We start from the raw sequence: 24,900 nt of genomic DNA, 5'->3' as shown, positions 1-24,900 counted from the left end.
TACTAGGTTTTGTACCAGGGGGACAAAATAATCTGTGTAACAAGTCCCCAAGACACAAGTTTATCTATATGACAAACTTTGACGTGTAGCCCTGAGTCTAAAATAAAAGTTTTTTAAAAATGGCCATTCTAGAAATAAAAATATAAAAGAGTTGGGGGGAAAAAGTGGCCACAATCTTTTCCAGCTTGAATGGGAGGTGGTAAGCAGTACGGGCCCATGGCAGTTGCTGTCTTCACGGTAGGAACTTTGAGTACTTTTCATGTAAAACAGCTCTTTATTGCCTAAGGGCAGTAGAAATTGGTGTGGACAGTTAAGAATAGAGGGTTGAGCTGTATCAGTAAAGGAGGTTTTGCAATATCAAGTTTAGAGACTAAAGCTCAAATTTCAGTCAGAGCAATTCTAGAAAACTCTTGGCACAATTGCTTTATGACATTGTATTTTGTTGAAAGATGAAGGAGAGAGTGAAGTGACTATCTGGGGACCCTGAGGAAGTCCCTAAGATTCTGTTGACAAAGGAATCTGAGTGCAGGAAGCACGTGGCTTGCCTACCCAGCTCAAGTCTTATGAAGAGTACAGGTGTTGACAGTTTCTGAAGACAGAGCAGAGGAGGCTCTGGACCTGATGTCTATTTGATGGCAGAAGTGAGTAAGGGTACCTAGTCACATTGCTTTGTAAGAACCATTTTTACATGTGCCTGACTGTCTGTAGTTGCAAGTCAAATTTGACAAAACCACAGTGTAGGTTTATAGCTAGAACTTACATGTATATATTTACTGTCATTTGATTTTTTCCCTAGGAGAATGATATTTAATTTTTCTCATTTTCACACTGATCACAAAACACACACGCAATTCATGAAACTGAAGGCAGAGAAGAACTTCCAAAAGCACTGGGCTGAAGAGATACCATGGATAAAGATGTGATGCATGGACATCAGCTAGTATGTATAAAAAATTCTGCCATTTGTTGGGTTTTATTGGTGCCATAAGAGCAATCAATGGGTTACATAAACACTTTATATATTTGTAATGGAAGTGCTCTGAACCAAATATGCTAAATTCACTGTGGGGTCAAATATTTCCAGCTGCATGTGCTCTACTGCATGTACTTTGCACATAATTTGAACCATGTGCTTTTGAGTGTGTATAATGTATAACATATTTATTCTTAAAAACAAGAAGATTTGCCCCTATTTACTACAATTCAGCCAACTACAAGTTAGAGATTGTAAAACTGGAAGTTTCAGATTCCTCCTTTCATGTCCATAAAAGCAATTGCTTTATGGAAATGAAATTATCTTCCAGAGAGGGGAGAGCTCGTGGGTGACACAGACGCCTTTTGGGACTGGGCTCAGGTCAGGCCAGCCACAGCCTGATGGTGTCCAAGGATTAGGATTTGGCCCTCTGGCTATTAGGGTGAAGACATCCATGTCATTGGGATGACGAATGTCATTGAGAATGGGCAGACCAGTGTGCTGTTTTCTGTGCCAGTCTACAAGGTAGGGTTGGGAACCATTGGTGGGGGCCTGTGTGACACGTCCATTTCTGCTGTTTCGGTTTGTGGAAATGACGCCCCTGCACGTTCTTGATTTCTCTTCTCCATGAATGAACACAGTCAGGTGAAAACACTGTGACTCTGAAGTTAAACAGATATGTGTTTTAATCCCAGCTTTGCCTCTATGTGACGTTCGTCCACTCATCTAATTTGTGTGAAACCTGTTCTCTTCCGACTAAATCAGTGTTCATGACAACAATCTTGCAAGATTGTCAAGTGCATTATCAACAATGTACATGAAGTAGTTGGCATGGTGTGGTTGTTCTATAAATTGTAGTAATTATTGCTTTTTAAATTAAAGCAGGTAAATAAATAAGGAAGCATGTTAGATTTTCTGGACTTTTTCTGCTTTACTTTGATCTTTAGCACTAGGCACAAATTATCCTGAAGAGCAAAAAAATGAAAATAGCTTTGCAAAGCTGAGTAAGTTTATATTTCTTACAAAACCACAGAATCAAAAGGCTATCGATTAGCTCTGATGTCAGGTGACCTTTGACTCTTCGAATCAACATGCCCTACCTGAGAAAGGTCAACTTGGTCAGTTCTTTCACTAAGATCAAGCATGAAAGAGAGAAGATAGTTCTTTGGCAGAAGGCTATAGAGAAACTTTAAATGCTTTTTAACCCCCGCCCCCCCAACCCCGACTTTTTGTTTTACAAAAAAGAAAAAGTAGAAGTTATTCCAAAGAAATTCAAGGTAACTGGAAATTCAAGAGGATAGGAAAAAGGTGATTGCATCATTGATCAGGATCTAAACTTTATCTGTTTAATTTCTCTTCCATTTTATTAGTGCTAAGGATGAGAATAACTGTTATTTCTGATAGATATTTGCATTTTATTATAGTTGAAATTAGAGATCTTAGGAGGTGTTTACTGGTAACGTTGGGGGTGGTTCCAGTCTACAGAAATGTACATGCAAGGAGCACAGAAGCAGCCATGCATGCTGGAGTCCATGCGCATGTGACATTGGATGTGGAATCTCACAGGAACTGCTGCAGGAAGCCCAGTGGGGCAGCGTGTGAACAGGAAGGTGATCAGGAAGTTTCTGTCCATGCCGTGGCTCCCCTGCCTCCAAGGCTCTCACCTCCAGCCATCTGTGAATGTAAACATCTAGACCCTAGCCCTCTCTGCGCATCAGGATTCCTTGCTTCTACCTGGCTTGACCAGTTTATAGTTGATTCTCATTCTTCACACTAGTTATCCTCTATAAAGTTGCCATGAATGCTAAATTAGTGAATACTAAATAACTGCTTCCAGGAAAAATAGAAGGGTATCTTCCTGTGAACCTCCAGTCACAAGATTTTTTCATTAACTGGTAAGTAATAAACTTGCTTTATGTGTGTTTCTGTTTCACGACACCATATTTATTATGTATTCGCTGATTCATAAACACTGAGCTCACGGCCAGCAGGGCTGTCACTCACGCTTGAACCAAGCTCCTCTAACTCACATCCATTCTCCATCAGCCACATCACAGCCTTCCCCAATGCAGGAACATTAGACAGTTCTTCATTACTACACTTGGGAGCCATTCTAAACAGCAAAATAACCAACAAAAAGCACAAAAATGCAAAAAAATGTGGTATGAAATGAACTGCAAAAGCAAAAGACACTTATTTATATAGTATGACCAATCAAACAAGAAGCCAGGGTGTTGCTCTGTTTGACCTCAGGTGAGATCATGAGCAGCCAGTGGCTAAATGTTTTGTTGCTCTGTGCCCACCCTCATATGGTCAAGAAAGCACCAAGGGTTTTGATTTTGGGGCTCCAAGCAAATTCAGTGAGTAGGAGGATTGGCAGATAAGGAATCCACCAACAATGAGGATTGATTATCTCTGACTTCATAGCTCTCATGGCCTCAGCCTCTGTATTTTAACACCAAATTTGTGGTAAAAAATCTGATTTGCTCCACTTGGATCAGGATGCAATCAGCTGTGGCTAGCAGCAGGCATTGATGGGCAGCCTTATAGGGGAGGGCCCTTTCTCCAGGACTGTTAAGGCCAGAGCTATACTTCAGCAGGAAGTGTGGCTGAGGAAGAAGAAACTGAGATTCCTGGCACATGGGTTAATGGAAAGGCCCTTCATCTTTTTACACTGCTTAGAAAGACATACTTAGCACCCTAAACATTGAGTGCGTGTTAGAGGCCAAAAGTGACAGGACTGCGTTTTTGTAATTGACAGTGCAGTTAATCTTGGAACAATGCAGGGGTTAGGGGCACTGACCTCCACACAGTAGAAAATCTAAGTATAAGTTTTGACTCACCCAAAACTGTGAGCAGCAGCCTACTGTTCACCAGAAGCCATACCGATAGCATAAAGATTTGATTTACACATATTTGTATTTACATGTATTGTACACTGTATTCTTACAATAAAGTAACCTAGAGAAAAAAATGTTACTACGAAAACCATAAGGAAGAGAAAATATATCTACTATTTATTAAGTGGAAGTGGGTCATCATAAAGGTCTCCATTCTCATCTTATTCATGGGGAGCAGGCTGAAGAGTGGGAAGAGGTCTTGCTGTTTCAGGGGTGACATTCACGGAAGAAAATTCACATATGAGTGAACCCGCACAGTTCAAACACGTGTTGTTGAAGGGTCAACTGTAGTTTCTCACTTTTCCTTGCCACGTATGTTGTCATGGGAACCAAGAGAAAGGTAGCTCACAAGCTGTACAGTTGAAAACAATGTGCCCACTTGTCTGGGACCTTGGCGCCACATCTGTAGGATGCTAATGCCAATCCTCTGGGTTGCTGTGAGGATCGGTCGAAAGCTTTCCAGCTTCCAAGTCTATATAGCTGTGAGACATGGGACGGGTGGAGTTGGGGCTTCTGACCACACCACCATGACAATATTTACGTATAGCCTTGGCAGCAAATAAAAACAAAAAGGCACTAAAGATACTTCCACCCTGAGAGTCTAACAGGAGTACTTTTATGGACAAGATAATGGCCATAGCTACACTGTGTCTGACCCTCTCTTCTTTGACTGGGGTGTGGCCAAGGCCTCTGCGTAAGGCACGCTCTGCACCCCAAGGGTGGAATGATGAATGAATCACCTCTCAACCACAAAGATGAGGAGAGGGTAAAGTAAGAGAAGTTACGTCTTTTTCTTCCTTGCATCAACAAAGAGGCTTTTGAATTGTCAAAGTAGATTTCTTTCTGGGCTGTGCAGGTAGAGGAATGGAGCGAAAGGCCCTCCTAGGGATCCTCCAGGCTCTCAAGCCTGAGATTTAAACATGCAGGCACAGATATAAACACACACATTGACTGATGCCACACACCGTGTCAGGCAGCCCACCTGTGCAGAGCTGGGTGGTCTGGTGGGGAGGCACTGGGAGGGGCTGCCAGCTCACTGGGGTCCTGGCATGGTGGGAGAGTTCACAGTGGGATTTCATCCCAGAACTGAGATCCTCACACATAATATGAAGTTATAAATGAGACCATTAACATGCTGAACTAGTCACAGTCCAGCAGGAGTCTGCAAGTTTTGTTTGTTCGAGTCTACTATGGTTTGAATGATGGTGTCCCCACCAAAATTCACATTGAAACTTAATCCCCAGAATGGTGGTATTAGGAAATGGGGCCTTTTGGGGAAGTGATTAAGTCATGAGGACTGGAGGGAGCTAGCTTGGGACCATCATTGCCCTTGCATCCTTTTGGCCATGTTGGGACACAGAGTTCACGGCGCCATCTTGGAGGCAGAAGTGAGTCCTCACCAGCCACAAACCTGCTGGTGCCTTGATCTCAGATTTCCTGGCCTCCAGAACTGTGATAAATAGATTTTTATTACTCATAAATTGCCAGCCTCTGGTGTGTTGTTGTAGCAGCACAAAAAGACTAAGAGTCAGATACTTGTCTCACCAAAATCTCAGATGGGATGACAAAACGATTTAAAGAAATCAAGTTTGATAGCTGCTCAGAATCTTGAAGGTCCACCCTTAGTGACAGAGGCAGTCCTCAAATTCATATGAGATGAGATGTACTGTTCAAAAATTGTGCTTGAAGGCCACTGGCCAAATGTTTATAACAGATCTATCTACATGTCATAAAGAGCGTGAAGCCCCATTTTTAAGAGGGAGCTCCAGCTATCATTAAGTTCCTTCTCCCAAGACCCCTCCCCACTTCTGGGGGTCTAGGTCCTCTGCTTCTTCTGCCCTGTTAGCTGTGATCTGCTCCTCTTGAGAGGGCTGGTGTGGCAATAGCTTCCCCAGGGACTCAGCCCCACTCAGCTCCTGCCCATCCTGAGAACAAGGTGGCTTGGCCTCTGAATATTACACTTTTCTTCTAGAATTACTATGTATCTGGAGTTAGAGGGAAAAAAATATTGTTGTTCTCCTTTCAAAAAGCAACGCTCATATTTGGGCTTGATAATCCCAAGGCACGTTTTCAAGCTGCCAGCCCACAGCCCATGGCACATCTGAAGCAGTGAGGATGCTGGCTGGGCACGGCTGGGAATAGAAAGGTTCTGTGAATTGAGGGAACATTGCCTTCCTTGTTCAGGGGACCCAGTGAGCAAGCGACCGCCAAGTCCCTGGGCTGGGGGAGGGAGGACGCAGTGACCAGTCTCTGTCAAGCCTATTCTGAGAGAGGGGATGTGTCTGGGTTAACATTTCACTGAGATGCCTTGAGGCCTGGAGCTGGATATGCTCAGTTGAGAGGCTGGAAAAGAGAAGCGGAGAGGACCAACAACAGATTTTGCTACCTGCAAGGCTGATGCAGTATTGAAGCACTTTTAGCATGGCCCCGAGTACTTGGAGCTCTCCCAACTTCCACGGTCTCAGCATCCCTCTTCCTCTGTAGGCAGCCCAGAACCTGAAGACCCAGTAACTAAGGGATTAAGAAGGATTTAGCTGGAAACTGTCCTTTCTCATAGATCCGTTTCTGGGCCATACCAGTTAACTATTGTGAATATCACCCTTGTCTCTGACAAAATACTGCCTTGGAGGGCAGAGGTACTTAATTCACAGAACACATTGCAGAAATCGAATTGTTAGCAGCTGAATGATGAGAAAGCTGGAAATAAAGAGTCGATATTAGGGGCATCCATGGACTGGGGGCTTGGCAGTCATCTTAACTGAGATGGTGTCCCTGCTCTCCATAGTGCTCCTTAGAGGACTCTCACCCAGTCAATGACAGCTGAATGGGAAACAGCAAAGGGGTGCCACAATCACTTGGCAAGGATGGATGGCACAGGGAACAGGGAATGATTTATAAATCCTTCTGAGAGCAGAAAGCCGTCTTCCCATCATCTTTATAGCTGACTCCCCCGGCTCTTAGAGACCTGTGATAGCAGCATCATTACCACTTCCCTGCATCCATCTCTTGCACTTTTGTAATATGGGAAAGAGAGATTAATTGTATGGTGAAACTCTTCAACAATTTGCTGAACCTCTGCATTCCTGACATTAATCTTTCCCCAAGTGCCCTATCATTAACTTGAAAAATCAACCGGGCAAAACCTTAGAGTAGGTTCATGCAAATGAAAATACATAAATAGTGTGCGGGGATGGTGCAGGGATGGAGACGGGGAGGGCTGTCGGCTGCCAGAGAACCTATAGCAAAATGATACATTAAGCTGTTTTCCTAAATGCTTCACCCATGAAACATGTCGTTTATCCACAACCCTGTACTATTTCATTAGAATCGTTTACTTTGGGCCTGGACCTGCTACTAGCAAGAAAACCACTTCCGCCTTCAAGTTTTCAAAGTATGCAAATAAAAAAATCACTTCTCTTCCTCTGTCTCCAAAAGAAAATCTCTATTCTCTCTTCATTCGTGCGATTCAGCAACTAGCCGCCTTTTCCTAGGTTTTCTTCAATTTGAAAAGAAAATAAAACACACTTGTTTTGAGATTTTCCCACATCATAAATGTTCTCATTATGCCAAATTTGACTACTACTCTTATCAAATATAAAATTGGCTAGAGAAATATATTCACTTTTGAAGTTTTGAATTCATTTTTTAAATAAGACCCCTCCACATGTAGATTTGTTCTTATGTAAGAGGAGGTCTTGATCTGTGCTCACAACATCATTATAACCAGATAGAGAAACAGAGATTCTATCAAGGAGAAAATGGCCCTTGAGTAGAGTTCATAAGTGTGGATTTTGCCCATGAGGTGCCCCTTGGTGGCAGAAGCCAATGTGTGGCTTTGCCCTGGCCAATCCTCTGTTTTCTCTCTTTGTAGCCCCAACTGTGATTTAAGTCTTATGCTACATCATGAATCAGAGTTCAATCATGAATGTTAGTAGTTTAGGAATGAAAAGTAAGAATGCACCCATTTTTCTACTGACTACTTTTGAACTAGATCTTTAAAAAAAAAAAATCGGCACTAAGCTGAATCTCCCCAGAATGGAGCGTCATCTACTTCCCCATCCATAACCACTGGTCACCTGAGTCAGGCAGAGGGAAGAATGCATGATTCAAATCAAACCAGGTTAAATGAACAGACAGAATTAGAGAGTCCTCAAAAGGGAAACTCAGCGATTTTCTAAGATGGTTTTCTAGATTTAGTTGAAAGTTAAATACATAAATCTTATAAAATCTGCAATGTTTGTGCTAGGAACAAAATGTAAAGTGGAATTTAAAATGAAAAGTGATTCACCACTTATTATACTTTTTCCTTTGTAAATTGTAAGTGATTGTAGGATCAAGAAAGTTAAAACTTAGCAAAGGCTTGGATTTAAGTAAAAAGGCAGTCAGGGTTTTTTTCAATTATTCATTCAATTAATATTTATTGAGAGGCTTTAGCGTGCACATCTCACTCAAGGCAAACAGTTGAGAAGCTTATAATTTAGACAGCACAAGACAAATACTTGAGTAATAGATAATATAATTACATATAAACAGGTCACATGTAGAATCTCCCAGAGCAAACCTTCTTTTCTCGAGTTTGCTGATGTCTGTAGCTAGGAAGAACAAAAACAAATGATTAGAGTCTTCATGATTACGGATTTGTTTGGACTTTGATTACTAACTAAATTAATAATTTATTTTTATAAGCTAACTTCAGCTTAAAATCATTTGAGCTTATGTGCAAGGTAAATATGTTTGAATTTTTAACACTTTCTATGTAATACTAGGGAACCCCATTTGACAAATTTAGTAGAACCATCATTAATCTACATAGATTATTTTATTGAACTAAAAGCAATTATTAATATTCGTTAAGTGCCAGGCAGTTTACACACACACACACACAATTTATCCCTCTAACCTTATGAAGGGCATACTATCATCATCTGCATAAAAGCTAACAAAGTTTATGATGCATTGCAGTGAAAGTGTAAACAGAATTTTTCTTTTGCAAGGAATTTAGGGGATTACGGTGCTCCACAGTTACACATTTATCATTTACTTATTGCACGGTAAGCCGTCGGGATATAAAGATGATCGAGACCTGATACTTCCTCTGCAGCTTACCTTCTAAAGAGAGAGATGGACATGTAAACAGGGGCGCTGAAGGAGGTGAAGACACTGTGCTGGAAATCTTAAAGGTGGAGTGGGGCAGGGAGTTCCACCCGGAGCCTTCACGGAGCAGTGACACATGGACTTTCTTGGTTTGATCTTTATCTAGAAGGCAGCCTGGACAAGTTGAAGCCATGTCTAAGCATTCCCCAAGTTTTAACAGTGTACTTGAGGCAATGTGGTTATTATTGTTGTGATCTCACAACCAGACAGAGTGGTGATCTACAGTACCCTTAGCAAGTAAGAAAGTGCATTGCCAGTTTCATTGCATCTACTGTAAAGATCTTGGCCAGTACCGTAAAGATCTTGGCCATGTACTGCAAAGATCTTGGAAGCAGAGAATAGCAACAACATCCTCATGTTAAAAGCAGAAGACACTAGAGGTCTCTGGAGATAGAATAAAACCTCCTTCTATTTGCCTCTTATTCTATCCAACAAATAAAATCCATCAGCAACCTTTCATGACATCGACTCAATACCCAGAGTACATTTTGAGGGACTAACCACACCAGGACCTACTAAGCACTTCATGACAGCAGTTTGTTGGGAATAAGAATTATGGATGGTGCAGTCCAATAACATGAGTATGTGCATGTGATTTAACAGCTTCAAATAGCAGTGTGTAGTGAATACATGCCAACATAACTTACCTAGGACTCAACCTAAACTCTTAAGATGCAACACGCATTCACACACATACTTGTTTCTAAAGTTATTACATTCTATAGTTGTTCACTTCTGCTAGCTCTAGAATGAGTAAGGCTGAATTCTTTCCCCAAAGCATACTGTAAATTATCATATCATAGACTTTTGATAGAATTTCAAGTATTTGTGAATCATTAATAATTGTCCTAACTTTAAAAAGGTGTCTACCTTGAACATGATATTCAAATCATGAATTCCTGAAGGCTCGTTGAGTTGGTTGTTCTTGGCCATCATCTTGAAGCATACTGTGCATCTTAATTTTCCCTAAGGAATATGTCTGAGAGAAATATTTGGTCATTTACACTATAAAATTTGTCAAATGACTGAGCATAGGCTTGGTAAAAGGTACATAGTAATCATAGCAAGAGTCAAAATTCCAGTTAGGATACATAAATAACTTCTATGAGATGGGAACCAAATAAAAACTCTTCAGCCTTGCAGCCCTAAGGAACACATGCCACTTGATTGCTCACAGCTTGGACAACATATTCTTTATCTGCAGGAGAGGTGTTCACTGAAGACCCCCCAATGACGCTCCTTCCTGCACCAGGGAAAGTTTAAGAATTACTCTGCCACAGGGAGAATATACAATGGCTGCAAGAGATTCTCTTCCTAGAATCCTGGTGCGGGGATTTGAGAAACTGTCAGGATGAAAAATGATACTATTTTAATCTCCCCATAAATAACATTGGTATAGTGTGCTTTTATTATTTTCTTTGAAATGAATTTATTCTATTCTTAGAAATTAAGATACTTTATTCACATGCCTGTATAGAAATCTTTCTGAAACAAGTGTTGGTGAGGATGTGGGGAAATTTGAACCCTCATACTTTGCTGGTGGGAATGTAAACTAGGGCAGCCACGTTGGAAAACAGTTTGACAGTCCCTCAAAATGTCAAGCATAGAGTTAACATATGACCCAGTAATTCTACTCCTAGGTATAGACTCAAGAAAATTGAAAACTTACATCTGCACAAAAACTTGTACACAAATATTCTTATCAGCTTTTTTCAGAATAGCTAAATTGGAAATAATCCAAATGCTCAACAGATGGGTGAATAAACAAAATGTGGTATGTCTGCACAATGGAATATTATTTGACATTTTATAGAAAGAATGAGGTTCTGATCCATGCCCTAACACAGATGAACCTTGAAACACTGTGCCAAGTGAAAGAAGCAGTACTAATGGGCCACATATTGTATAATTCTATTTATAGGAAATGCCCATAATAGGTAAATCCGTAGACACAGAAAGTTGAGTGGTGGAGGCCAAGAGCTTTGGGGAAGCCTTGGGGAAAGTGAGGAGGGACTGCTAATATGCCTTATTTTGGGATGATGAAAGATAGTGTCAGTGGTTTTACAGTTCTGTGAATAAACTAAAAATCACTGAATTATACCCTTTAAAGAATGCATTTTATGATAGGTGAATTATATTTCAATAAATTGCTATAAAAATCTTGTTGAGCTCTTTTAGATAGTTCAAGCCTTTGTCCTGATTAATTTCTGTAAATGATCACTATCTAACTAGTTGTTTTGGGATGTGTTTGGCCTTCAGATGAAATAAAACCAATTTTTAAGATAAACAAAGACAACCAAGTAATAAGAAGTGATTTTTTTCACGTGTTGAAACTTTATGTTTGCAAACATCTGAAGAAAATCATCCATAAATGAATCAGAATGATAATAGATATGTTTTTGCAATACTTTCACAGATGGTCTTATTTAAACACATTCCAATGATGATAAATACAGAAGCTTATGGAGTTACATAATACGAGATTCTGGTTTGGATATGAGATCCAGCTGAGCAAGTTATCTGAGGGAACATTTCTTATTTGTCTTTGTATTTTCTTGGGCATAGACTATGTGATAGTTAAGGGAGGATTAAATGCATTATCTCAAAGCTGTGCCTTTTTGAGGAGCACCTTCAACCAGCAATAAAAAAAATCCTTTTACTCTGAGTTAAGACAATTTTAAAGGACAACCCATTCTGGAATGCAGCTGATGCTTGATATATGTTTCATGAACGAATGTCTGAAGTTATATATATATAAATGGATCAATGCGGAGTATATAAACTTGGATTTCAGAGCTGTCCCCATCCCTAGTTCTAAGGTTCGCTTCTTCCTTCATTTCCAATATAAGCATTGAAATTTTGAAGCATTCTTAACAAATAAAATATCTAAAAATATTTGTGGTTTGGTTTAAGTACAGAATGCATCCCAAAGGATTCTTTTGTTACCTAAGTCTATAATGAGTGATGTTAAGAACTTCTAATAAGACATGACACCATGTAATAGTCCTCTGAACCAAAAATGAGGACAACGCTTCCTGAAAAGTAATTATTTTGGAGTGAAACCTAGTTCTTATTTACCTCATGTGACTGTAAAATACCTTTATAGGAATAAAGAAGTATTGAGGCAGCACAGGGCTTTTCATCAGTCTATAATGATTGGTTTTCTCTCATAAGCTCCATTAAACCAATATTCTATATATATGTACCTATGTACATGTGTGTGCCTCTGTGTGTGTGTGTGTGCCTGTGTATATTTTTCCCAATAGGATAACACTTTGGGAATGTCTATTGTTTGCAGAGGGTAAAGAGAACTGAGTGGAATGCCGTTACTGAATATTATCATATTCTTTATTGATTGAGATTCCTTTGTCAAAGGAATGTCAAATGTCATTTGGGGTCACTGTCCATTTTTGAATGTATTTTGGCAAAATGCAAAAATCGCCAGGCTTCACTTATTTCATTGTATTGATTTGGGTGATAGTTATTTGCATCTGACAATTTGCTTATTTAAAGAACATGAAGGTCATTATCGTTGGACTTTTTCTGAAATAACCAACACACAGAGACTGGATTCATACTTACTGTTGCCTCCATCGGCTTGATGAAATCAGTGCTCAGAACCTGAGAGGGTAGAAATGGCAGGTCAGATTAATTGACTTTTAAAGGTTTTGAGAATTTCTCGATTTATTTACATGGATTTGCACACTCTAAGGTCAGATAAAAAGAACATCAGATTTCTCATAGGGAAATTCTTAAGTTCAAGTATAAAAATGTTACAATATTGGTCAATATCACATTGTTTTATTTATATATTATTAGACTTTAAATTGTAGGGTACATGTGCACAACATGCAGGTTTATTACATAGGTATACATGTGCCATGTTGGCTTGCTGCACCCATCAACTCATCATTTACATTAGGTATTTCTCCTAATGCTATCCCTCCCCACTCCCCCCACCCCATGACAGGCCCCAGTGTGTGATGTTCCCCTCCCTGTGTCCATGTGTTCTCATTGTTCAGCTCCCACTTATGAGTGAGAACATGTGGTGTTTGATTTTCTCTTGTGTTACTTTGCTGAGAATGATGGTATTATACTGTCTGTTAATCCTTCTTGAGTTTAAACAGGTATTCTAGTTTTGCTTCATAACGTAGCATGCCCTTTCCATCCTTTGATAGCTCATCATACCTCAAAATAAAATCAGAGACCTTCAACTTCATTCTCAATCCAATCTCCAACTAATCCTGTTCATGAACTCTTCTGTCTAGCCAACCTCTCTAAATTAATTCTTGACCATCTGATGTTACTGCCTCCCTTTCCTCTTCTTGGCATTTTCTTTCCCTGAAAATCTTACTAGCCATTCCTTAATCTCAAATCCACTTATTTCTGTACAATGGCTTCTGAACACTATTAAGTATCTATCCTTGCTCTGAACTCCTAACATTTATTATCTGTATCAGACATGTGGCATGTGCATTTACAACTTTGTTTTGAAGTTAAATGTGGGCATGTTTGTGCCCAGTGCTAGATTATGAATTCTTGGAGGTCATCGACCACCCAGATTGATATTTTCAAGGTACTTCACACATAGCAACCTTACAATAAATGTCTGTTGACTGAATGAGTGAATGAGAAGAGATTAAAATTGAAGCAGTTACTCATCTAAGAGGTGTCCAAATAGTGAATGATTAAACAAGGAGCAGTAACTCATACTGTTCTTCCTTTTGACCTGTGCTGTTGTTTTGGTAGCTGAGATTCTCTGGTCACTAAGTAATCAGATATATGGATATACTCCCTTGAGGTGTGTTTGGGAAGGACTTTGATTGTCCCATAAAGCAGAATATAGATCTGACGCTAGATTGCTCTTGTTTTTTTTTTCCGTTTTTTTTTTTTTTTTCAAGGAGGCATACTATTCATGTAACTCTGGTCACCAGACAGTCATACATTTCTTAAAATGTTTTTTAAAATTTCACTCTAGAATACTTACAACTAACTGGGTATGAATCTATTTATCCTGGCGTAACAATAGATTTGATATTGTCACTAAAATTGTAATTTTGGTCTCTCCCATGTAACAGGATGTCACAGCAACAGAGCCATGATATTTCAGTAAGTGGCATGAGCACATTCAGCCTGGTAGATTGTTTTCAAAAGGTTCCAACACAGACCACTTCGGTACAAAGGGTCAAACACAGTCCAAACAAATGCTTGACAATAATAGGTACAAAGGACTCGTGTCCTTGGTGAATGATTAATCATAAACTGTCATAAACAAAAGTCTTCTATACATTTGATAAACAGGTTTGTAAAGAGCACAGGAAATACGGAGGAAAATCACATCTTTCAAAATTAAATGTCAGTCATAAGACAGCTGGTTTTTAATTTTTGAGAGGTTTTCATTTAACACTTTGAGTGAAGGCAGAGTAGCAGGTGCCATGTCTTCTCCCCCAAGTTGGTAATATATATGCACCCATCATTAAAATGTACCCTTTGAATTCTTATGTGTTGCTTTCATTCTGTGCTCCATTCAGTAGATTATTTTATACACATTCATTCCTAGAAGCTGCTGTAAAGGGCCATCACGTTCCCTCTCTTCTATTTTCTCTTCTCATGCGAATGAAGGAGCAATTAGCTGTGACAATCAGTAGGCAGAAAGACTGTCAAACCCATTTTGAAAAAATAAAAACAAAACACCTTGTTGCATCTTTGGAGTAGCCTAAGAATAAACGTATGACTCCGTATTTTAAAAAAGAAACTTTTTTTCTCTCCACAGATGTGCAGGAATGTAGATAGCCAAATGCATGTGGCCATCCCAAGACCTATGTGTTCTTGGAAGATTTTGCCAATGTTTCCCCCCAATTTTGCTGCAGCACGAAACATTTCTGAAGTTCAACTTCAGGGATTATATTGAGGATCACTTTACACGTCACATAAGAAAATAACTTTCTTCTTCAGCTTAGGAGTCAATTGTGATATTGATAGGATTTTTAGCACCTCTCTTGGTACAAAAGAGGAAGGAGAATTAAGCCTATAGTGCAGGCAAATAAATGATTGCAATAAGGAAATCCGTGGACCAACCAGAATGTGGGCTTCCTCAGTGACTACAGAAATTACCAGGAAAATGGAAGAGAAATGGGCCCAGGTAATGACAGTGCTTTCAAGCTGTCCCAGTCAATAAAAATGCTTGATAAATGGTTTCTCAGCCTTGCCATTGGGAAAAGGAGAGAAGGAACTACTCTGGCTGTTACTCCCTACACCTTCCTTATCCCCAGTACTGTGGCCCATGCCTCAAGTTCTGTGGACAATAAGAAACAAACAGCAACAAAACATATCAACTCGAGCTTTTGGACGTGAGGGCCAGATATATGGTTGAAGCCTGGAAAGCAAAGGGAATAAAGAAATAAAAAGACATAAAATATGAACCCACATGTCCTCTAAAGTCTTTATGTTTCAGAATAATCCTTTTTGTTTCTTTAAATTCCAGAACCTGTACTCCCTTCCTTTTTCCCTCCTAAGAGTACAGGCCTGAAGGAGCTATAGGTGAGCTTTCTGAAAAGAAGCACCCTCTGCTTTACATTATGGCCCTGCAATAGGAACGAGCTCTCCAGTGGGCACACAAACCCAGGCGCGGTCCCCATGAGGTCACTCTTCTGCTTGGCCTCCACCATGAGCCAGACTCTTGACCCCCTACCAGATACTGCTCTTACCACCCTTCTGTCCTGCCAAGGCTAGAACATGGAGGCCAAAGCCCATGAGTTTCAAAAAGATATTGCAGATACTGTGATTTATCACCGTTTTAGGCTTGAATTCTCCTTACAACATTCCTTCGCGACGTCTCCAATTCCCTAGGACTCTTCCTGTTGGAGAGAACGTTTAAATAAGAGAATGCATGTAACTCATTCAGTGCAGGGCCCAGGGCATAAAGAACTCATTTGATAAAGTATTCCTCCTTCTGAAAGCTCAGATAAGCATCAAATGATACTGACCTCACTGATCTGAGATTTATGCCATATAACTTCCACCCGTTGATTCTAGATGTAGCCGCTGCAATCCTACAAAACCAGAATAACCCCTTAAAATTCCTCCGTGTCCACTTCTCTCCATGGAAAATAGACCCATTTTCAGCTGCTCCTCAGGAGATATGATTGTTCTCCTCTGATTGTGTTCCAGTTTATTTTTACCTACCAGCCAAGTGTTTTAAAATTACCATTTTGGTGTATTTCTTTTTAAAGTGGGTGTGTGTGTGTGTGTAATCACACTGTTATACTATTTTGTAGCTTACTTTTTAAATGTATGCTTCCCTTCCTTAAATGCTCTTACACTATGGTCTTAATTATTCTAGTTAATAATCGTGATAAGAGCAAATATGTGATGAATTCTCGCTACAGTCCACGCACTCCACCAAATATATTTCATTCACGTCAAACCTCTGAGGTAGGCCCACGGATCATCAACATTTTACAAATGAAAGCCACACTCAAGTCAAGGTGTATGCAGGCTCAAAAGCCACCCAAGTTCACCAGGAAGTAAAGGACAAAGCCAAGATTCAAACACAGATACAGCCAGCCCCAGAGCCCACACTCTTTCCTGCTTTCTGTTTTACCTTTCTGGTTCTTCTTTGGCTAAAAAGTCCTTTGCGTTGTCCTTTATACTTTTGTAACTCCAGCACTTTGGAACTTGAGCCTATGGCAGTATTTTCAGAGCCCTGTCTTTCTCTCTTGTACTCATCTTCAGGGGTATGTCTTATGTCTATCTTTAAAAATTATGCACATGAACTACAAACAGCCTGAGCCCGTGGAGTCGCTGGCAGGCAGCCTCCTGTCTTCGGGCACTTCCCACTCTTCTTGATTTGCCTGATAACCTCGTTGGGAGGACTTCCTGTCCAGCCTCATTTCATGGGATCTGCCTCCCTCTCCCTGTCCTTGGAAACTCTGACAGCCCTGATAGTGCCCGGTTGCATGTGTGACTTTGGGAAGCCTTTGTTTTCTTGATTGCTGCCACCTGAAGAACCTATTTCTTCCCCTTTGTCAACTAGCAGTCAACATCAATGCTTTTTCCAAAACCTGGGAGATAAATGGTCAGCATGATGAGCTAATAACTGGCCAAATACTCTGGATTCAGCCTCGCAGGTGGAGAGTTGGTCTCCAGTCATTCCTCCATCTTGCCTCTGTGTGGTTTACAGGTAAACCAGGATCACGGCATCAAACTTTTCCCTTTTCCTTCTTCCAGTGAGTGATTTGTGATGCACTCTCTTCCAAGTTAATATAACCATCCATCTTCACCGAGATCTGACGAACTTGCTCAACCCTCCAGCTTGCAAGTTTTCCAAAAGCACAGCTCCATCCTCTCCCTCGGTGCTTGTGTCTCCTAGGGCTGCCATATGTACCATGAACTGGGTTCTGGGGGCCAGGAGCCTCAAATCAGAGTGCCAAGGGGGCCATGCCCCTCTGAGACTGATTAGAGTCCTTCCCTGCCTCCTCCCTCCCTGGGCTTGCAGCTGCAGCTCCCCAATTCTGCCTCTGCCCTCCCATGCTATTGCCCTTCTCTATCATCTCCAACTCTTCTACCTATAAGGACACCAGTCCTTTTGGGTTCAGACTCATTCTAATGCCCTCTTCTTAACCTGATTACATCTGCAAAGATACTGTTTCCAGTTAGGTCACATTCACAGGTGCTGGGAGTTTTAAGGTTTCAGCATCACTTTTGGGGGGACACAATTCAATTCATGACACTTGGGAAACCTGCTTCCACTTAACAGTGCAAACCCTTCTGCCACCATTTTCTAGTCATAAATCCCACCAGGCCAAAGCTCAAAGTACTTTGTAGGATTGCATTTATTACCCTAAATTATAGTCTCAAATTCGCATTATGAATTATGCATTGGGTATTGGACAATAGACATATGGGTCCACAGGTTTTTTGTTGTTGTTGTTTGATTTGATTTTCCTTACCTAAGTATGTCAAGGTGTTGTCAATTCACTCTACACATCTTTCTGCATTACACTGAGCATCTGCTTTGTGCCAGGCAATGTTCTAGGTGCTCAGGGATCAATGAGGACTAGAGCTGATGCAGTCTTTACTCTCATGGGGGTTAGGGTCTAGCAGCAAAGACAAACATTATACAAATACTAAAGACAAATGCAGAGAGTTTTGGATGTGGCCTTTTGAAACTTGGCTGTACTCCTTCCTAAATCTGTGACTATGGATCAATCACCTAACTTCTCTGTGCCTCAGTTTGCCCATCTGTTGAAAGGACATACTATCGGTAAACATTTCACAGCATTATTGGAAGGCTTGACTAAGTGAATTCATGCGAAATTCCCAGAACAGGTCCAGACACAGTAAGTAGTCTCTAAGTGTTAGTTATTATTATGCTAGAAAGGCCTTAACCTCACCTGGGGACAGAGAAACCCTTCTTGCAGAAATGTAGGCAAGCTGAGCCTGAAGGCTAAGTGGCACTCGGGGAAAGGTGGAGGAGGGGAGAAGAGGACTTTTTAGGTAAACTGATTAGGAAAGGAAGTGACACTGGGGTATTTTCCAGAGTTGTATCCTAATGCTGTGTTTGCTGCCTCCTTGATCCGTTCACAGCCCGCGGAGATAACCCTTTCTTCAGACACACACTCCCATCTCATGTGTCTCTAGCAAAATATCACCTAAAGCTACCCTCTGACTCTTCTCTTTGACATTTGTACAACTTCACCAAGCACTAACACACCTATGAGAGGCCACTGGCCCTTGTTTCCAGCCTCGGAATTCTCCAGGAATCCTGTGTGGAGGAGAGAGGACCTGTATACAGTCTGAATATCACCCTCTGGAAATAGTCCTCCCAGGACACACATTGGTAAGGCCTTCTCTTGACCTCGGGTTCTTTTCTCTTCTTGCATGATGGTAGATGCCTGCAGCATATCAGGTTGAGCTGTTTCATCCCAGGATTTCTCCCATTTTGTGAAACGCTGGCCGTGGTAGGACCGCTCGGTCCTCTGCTCTGTGGTATCCCACACACTTCATCTCAGGAAGTCTTGTCTTGTCTGAGGACTTTCTTCAAAAACCTCAAATCTTTCCTGCTGATTTCAGCCCTCTATAACTTTAACTAAAGATCTGCAGCCTTTTTCTGTAAAGGGCCAGATAGTAAATATTTTAGTCTTGTGGGCTATAATGATCTCTCTCACAAACACTCAATGCTGCTGTTGAAGTGAAAAAGCAGCCAGAGGCCACATGTTCATGAAGGGGCAAGGTGTGTTCCAATAAAACTTTGTTTATAAAAACATTCAGTCAGCAGGATTGGCCTGTGGGCTGTAGTTTGCCTTCCCTTGCCTTAGACTATAACATTTCCTTTGGAAAAATCAAAGCTGTGATCCAGGGTGGAACCATTGTGGATTCATGCTTAAGTTTAATACAGTTAAAACCAAACTCCCTTTTCTACTAAAATTAGCTCCCGCCCCAGATTTCCCTATTTCTGGCAATGACAGCAACACTTTCCAACTCATACACGTTTAACAACATGGAGTTGAATATTTGATTCCTCCTCTCCATGAACTGCCATATTTCTCACATCTGTGTATTTCTATTTTCATAGCTGTCATATCTTATCACTTCACATGGGATATTTATTTTCTTGGCTTTGGGACTGACAGATTTGCCTTCAGTTTTTAATTTATTTTTATTTTTTCATCTTAGTATGGTTTTGGGGTCAATCATTCCTAAAAATGTTGCTGTTACCAATCCTTTACTCTTCAGTCTTCCTCACCTACCAAACTCTGACTGCAGTCTGCCTTCAGTTTCTACCTAGGTCTCACCATGGGGTTTTCCTCTGACAAGGAAGTCCACTTTGCTTTGTTCCCGCACCCTGTTCTTTGGCTCACATTACTTCCTCTGTTCAAGATGACCTTTCATCCACAAGGCTCCTCCCCTGTGTCCATTCTCAAAAGCCGAGCTCAGTTCTAGCCTTCTCCCTGACCCTCATCAGTCCATTCCGTCCCATACTCTCCTGTGCCGACGTCTCCCACCTGTGGAATCTTGAGTGCAGGTCGTCTCTTAGACTCACTTGGCACCTCATCACACAGCACCTTGCATCCTTTTCTAAAGTTTCAGAAGTGTTTGTGATATGCCCCTGATTAGAGCAATGTTTGTCAAGACCAGCAGCATGCCTCACAGTGCCAGGATTGTGTTTGCATAGACATTCTTTCCTCCACGATATCCTGTCTTATCTCCTTATCAGTTATTGGAGTTTAAGGGGAAGTAGCTTTTTAAAAAAAAAAAAAAAAAAGTTAAATGAACTATCTTTATAGGCAATCCTAAATTTTTAAATTGCCTGTGTAATAGACACTATTAAAACTAGAGGGTGATAAGACCCCAAATCACTCTATCCAAGCCCATTGTGCTAGTAAAACATTTGAAAATCCACACTGATGCAATGGCCACATGAAAGAGAACAAGGTTTTGCAATGCTCAAAGTTGAAACAAAAATGAATTAGAGCGTTGCCTCCTCTACTTTTGAGGGAAATACTCATACTTGAGATAAAGAAGATTAAGCCGATTTTATTATGGGGAAAATGAAATGATAGGCAATTTTGTGGATTTTCCAAAGGAGATTTATTAATACATGTATCTTTAAAAATATTAGATGTTGACTAAGAAATTTTCCCCTTAAATATCCAATTTTCCTTAAAAATTAATGGCTTTCATTTTCTTTTAGATGTGGGATTATTACCGCCACTGCTTTTATATATCAGCTTTAATAGAAATCTTTTTTTGGATCAAAACTTGAAAGAAAACATTTGCGAAGAGTAGAATGTATAAATGAACGATGGTATATTCGTGCAAAAGAATACTACACAGCATGAGTCTGCAAACTCCATCCTGTAGGTCGAATCTGGCCCATCGCCTGCTTCTTAGAGCCTGCAAACTAAAAAAGGTTCTTACATTTTAGATGTAAAATTTTTGAAAGTAGGAGATTTTATGCCATGTGAAGGTTATATAAAAGTCAAATTTCAGTGTCCATAAATGCATTTGTATTAGGGCACAGCAAGATTCATTTCCTTATGTATTGTCTGTGGCTGCTTTTTGTGCTATACTGCCAGAGAGACTTTTTCGGCCTGAAAGGCAAAATACATACTACATGGCTCTTTAAGAAAGCGCTTGCTAACCCCTGCTATGCAGCAGTAAAATTAGCAAACAGAAAGGGAGACTTTCACAAATATGATGGTGAATGAATAAAGCTAGTCTCTAAAGAGTAGGTGTCATATAGTCCAGGCAAAATTAATCTACAGTGAAATAAATCAGAATGGAGATTTGCTCTGGGTGCGTGGGCTCTGTATGCAAGGGAGGCTTCTGGGGTGCTGGCAGTGATTGACTTCTTGAGCTGAATTCAGGTTGCACAGATGTATGTTCCCCAAAATTCTCTGGGCACTTGCAATTTGTGATCTTTTCTGCATTTATGTTATACTTCAGCCTTAAAGGTTTACTTAAAAGAGCCTAGGAAGAATAAAAAAGAATGATTAAGAAGAGAAATGAAAATAGAGGAAAGAGGATGCACGCTGAGGAACAGTTATGAACTGGAAGACGGCAGAGCTGCCGGGATGTGCCTGGAGCCGGGTGAGGCTGGGAGGAGGGGAAATAGCTGGGAAAGGGGCCGGGAGAGAGCCCCCGGGATGTGTTAGGACTTGAGCAGATCCTACCTAGCTTTGTCACCACCATCACCCTATGAGGCAGATATCATCTTTGTTGTATAGAAAAGGAAACTGAGGCTGAGAAAGATTCTGCATCCTGCCCGAGGACTCACAGCTTGTATGTACAGGGCACATTTCAATCCAAGGGGAAACCATGCTTTGTTCATTATTCTTCGGAAAGAGAAGGAAGGAGTTAGTGTGGATGAAATACGCAGATTCTCTCTGTGGCTATCAGGGATTACTGAAGCCCTAGAATGACTGTTACCCCCTAGAGTGGGGAGCTTATGTGGGGAGGGGCGTTTGAAAAGAGCGTTGGGAGAAAAAGTGGTTTCAGAAAGGATAGAGCAGTAGAGATTCTATCTGCTTTGGAATGTTTATGTCAACATTTTGGCATTCTTAACTCAAGAGGCACTCATGTGTTCACAGTTTTCTATTTCTTCTACTTTTAGTGCAGATATTTTTCCAGTCTTGAGGTGAGATGGCTTACCTGTGTGTAAACTATGCAACCAGTTTAATGAACTATGATGTGAAGATCAGTTTCTGATAATATAAAATATACTCCTAGAATTCTGTGGCTTGCAAACTTTTAAAATTATTCTTGGCTATACAAAGAAATCAAGAAAGCTTTTCTCTTCTGAAATGTCATGAAGTTTCCCAGATTCTTTTTCAAAATCAAAGCTATGTGTGTCTGAATTTATGTCGCCAAGTGATTAGCAGGTGACAGGTTGGCCTAAATAAAACACAGATTCTGATTTAGCTTACAGGAAAATTAAGCAGTCTAATTAGGTATAATAAACAAAATGAACAAATTAACATCAATCTACCTGTGCTCAGTTCGTAGGTGAGCCTAGAGTGAATATTTATGTTTAGTTAGTTTTTTTTTTGGTACATGTGTGGTCTGTTCCGGTATGAGATTATGTTTGGTACAAATTCCAGGTCAGATCCTGTACATTAAGAAAGTCAGCTATAAGGGACAGTTAGAAACATTTGGACATTCCGGCACTTCCATAAATTATGCATGTGTTCTCATTGCAGAAACTGGTAATGCTTCTAAACAAATGGAGACCTCCTCAAATGTTGGCTTTTAGTCTTTAGATTTATTTTTCAAAACACATGCACACAAACAACAACAACAACAAACCTCTCATGTTTCAGTGGTTAGCCCTCTCTTCTTCCCCTTACGCCTCTTCTAAGCAATTCAGTGTGGCATACTCTCATCACATGCTAAGGCTCAGAAATACTGCTTGAGTTGTAAATTCCAATTTTCATCTACCTATCTTTTGCTATTGAAAACAAACCCCAAGTCTGCTTTCAATTGTTGCAATATCTTCATGAGTCTTTATTAACTTCTCTAAGAATGTGACAGGGGAAAGCATACTATTCAGGTTATTTCAAAATATTTTATTCATGTAAATACTAACCTATAATTTCCATCGCTTTCTCCATGGATCAATGACACAAAACCAAACTGTTAGTAATTCTGTATTTTTAGAAGGACACATTGATGGCCATCTCCCAAGACAGACCTAAGAGCCAGGGGAGGACATGGCTTTAGGCTTATAAGAGCTAGCTCATCTGGGGAAGGAGAGAATCTTGTCTGTACCACTGACAGCTGGGGTGTTTGTCACCTCCGATGCTGGCCAGTTGGGAAAGGGTAATAAAGCTGTGTATCTATTATTGTTGAAAGGAATCCAGGTATTGAATAGAAATGGAAAGACCTTTTCTTTCATCCCAAGTAGGTCATTACAGCAATCCAAACTGTGGTGACTAGTGAATGGCAAATTACATTTTCCAGATGGGATTACTCAGGAAATGACCTCCGAAGGAGCTAGAACCATCCAAAATCAATAAACCAATGCCAGCCACGCCACACATTTGTATTTATACTTCACGTATCAATGACAAAAGTACTATTCTGGTAAGAGAGATCTGTAGGCATCACACATTCAGTCTTATAGACGAACTAATTCTGGCACTGAAAAATGATACCTTGGACACGGATTAATTCCTGGGTACAGGTGTGGCTGTACCTGTCAGGTGAGGCACCTGACAGCCCTAATGTCGTACAGGTGCATAAAGAATGTCCTTTAGGTAGTGGTCACAGCCCTTATTTGCAGATCTTGAGTTTTAACCATGACTCTGATCCTTATATTATTGGCAGTAAATTGACTTTTTTTTTTTTACCCCGGTTGATTTGGTTATAGAGTGAGGTGTAGCATATTGATGATTGATGTTCATGTTGGGAGATTAAATTGAATGCACTAAAATACAAATTGGCTGTTAATGTGTAGACATAGGAACATTTAAAAAAGGAGAGAAGGCATAATGTGAAAGCCAGTGGCTCATCTTAACAACCACTCCTTCATCTACAGTAGCAGAATATTTATTTATTTTATTTATTTATTTATATTTTTAAGATGGAGTTTTTCTCTTGTTGCTTAGGCTGCAGTGCAATGGTGCGATCTTGGCTCACTGCAACCTCTGCCTCCCAGGTTCAAGCGATTCTCCTGCCTCAGCCTCCTGAGTAGCTGAGATTACAGGCGCCTGCCACCACACCCAGCTAATTTCTGTATTTTTAGTAGAGATGGGGTTTCACCATGCTGGCCAGGCTGGTCTCCAGCTCCCAACCTCAGGTGATCTGCCTGCCTCGGCCTCCCAAAGTGCTGGGATTACAGACGTGAGCCACCACGCCCAGCTAGAATATTTATTTAATCTTCCAGTTGACCCCTCCCAACCCCCAAACACCTTCTGCATCTCCTTTTTGTTCTTTCAAGTTGTTCTGTTCTTCCTTGCTTTCTTCTTATATGCCTTCTGTGTAGGTACTTACTCCATCCTTAAACAAGAACATACTCCTGTAAGTAAGAGCTCATTGGTATTGATGATAACGTATATTTACTAAGAAGGTCTTGAAATTGCTTTGATGTTCATTGGAACCCTTGCCCCAGGCCCAATCAGGGACTACCAGAAAGGGTGTTCAGAAAAAAAATGAGAAATCTTCAGAAGAAAACCAGCATCTCCCAAATCCTGGGAAGCATTGATGGTGACCCTGCATGTGGGCTATGAACTGGGAAAAGCCTGTTTCAGAACTGCTCTGGAACAATGAAAGAAAATGATTCTGTATTAGACTGATACACTATGTACGTGTGTATAAATGGCCTTTGTGTATATTACTGTGATTTATTATTAAAAATGGAATCAACAAGAA

At 40.5% G+C, this 24,900-nt stretch overlaps 2 long non-coding RNA genes across 4 annotated transcripts; one reads left to right on the top strand and one right to left on the bottom strand.

Annotated features, from left to right (window-relative positions):
- LOC124903210 (uncharacterized) lies at positions 1–24,900 on the top strand. The gene is made up of 2 exons (XR_007063870.1): positions 1–940; positions 14,801–24,900. It is a non-coding gene; the product is annotated as an uncharacterized LOC124903210 (long non-coding RNA).
- LOC101927627 (uncharacterized) lies at positions 8,407–16,707 on the bottom strand. Of its 3 annotated transcripts, XR_007063868.1 has the most exons (5): positions 16,631–16,694; positions 15,820–15,884; positions 12,610–12,648; positions 9,898–10,006; positions 8,407–8,465 (listed from the first exon to the last, which is right to left on the bottom strand). It is a non-coding gene; the product is annotated as an uncharacterized LOC101927627 (long non-coding RNA). The 3 variants fall into 3 exon arrangements; XR_007063867.1 differs by lacking the exon at positions 15,820–15,884 and having other exon boundaries at positions 16,631–16,707; XR_007063869.1 differs by lacking the exons at positions 8,407–8,465; positions 15,820–15,884 and adding an exon at positions 9,061–9,141 and having other exon boundaries at positions 16,631–16,707.

The sequence above is a fragment of the Homo sapiens genome, chromosome 13 (assembly GCF_000001405.40).
Source record: "Homo sapiens chromosome 13, GRCh38.p14 Primary Assembly".
Lineage (NCBI taxonomy): Eukaryota > Metazoa > Chordata > Mammalia > Primates > Hominidae > Homo > Homo sapiens.
Note: the sequence above shows the minus strand (reverse complement) of the source record. Positions and strands in the feature narration are given on the sequence as shown.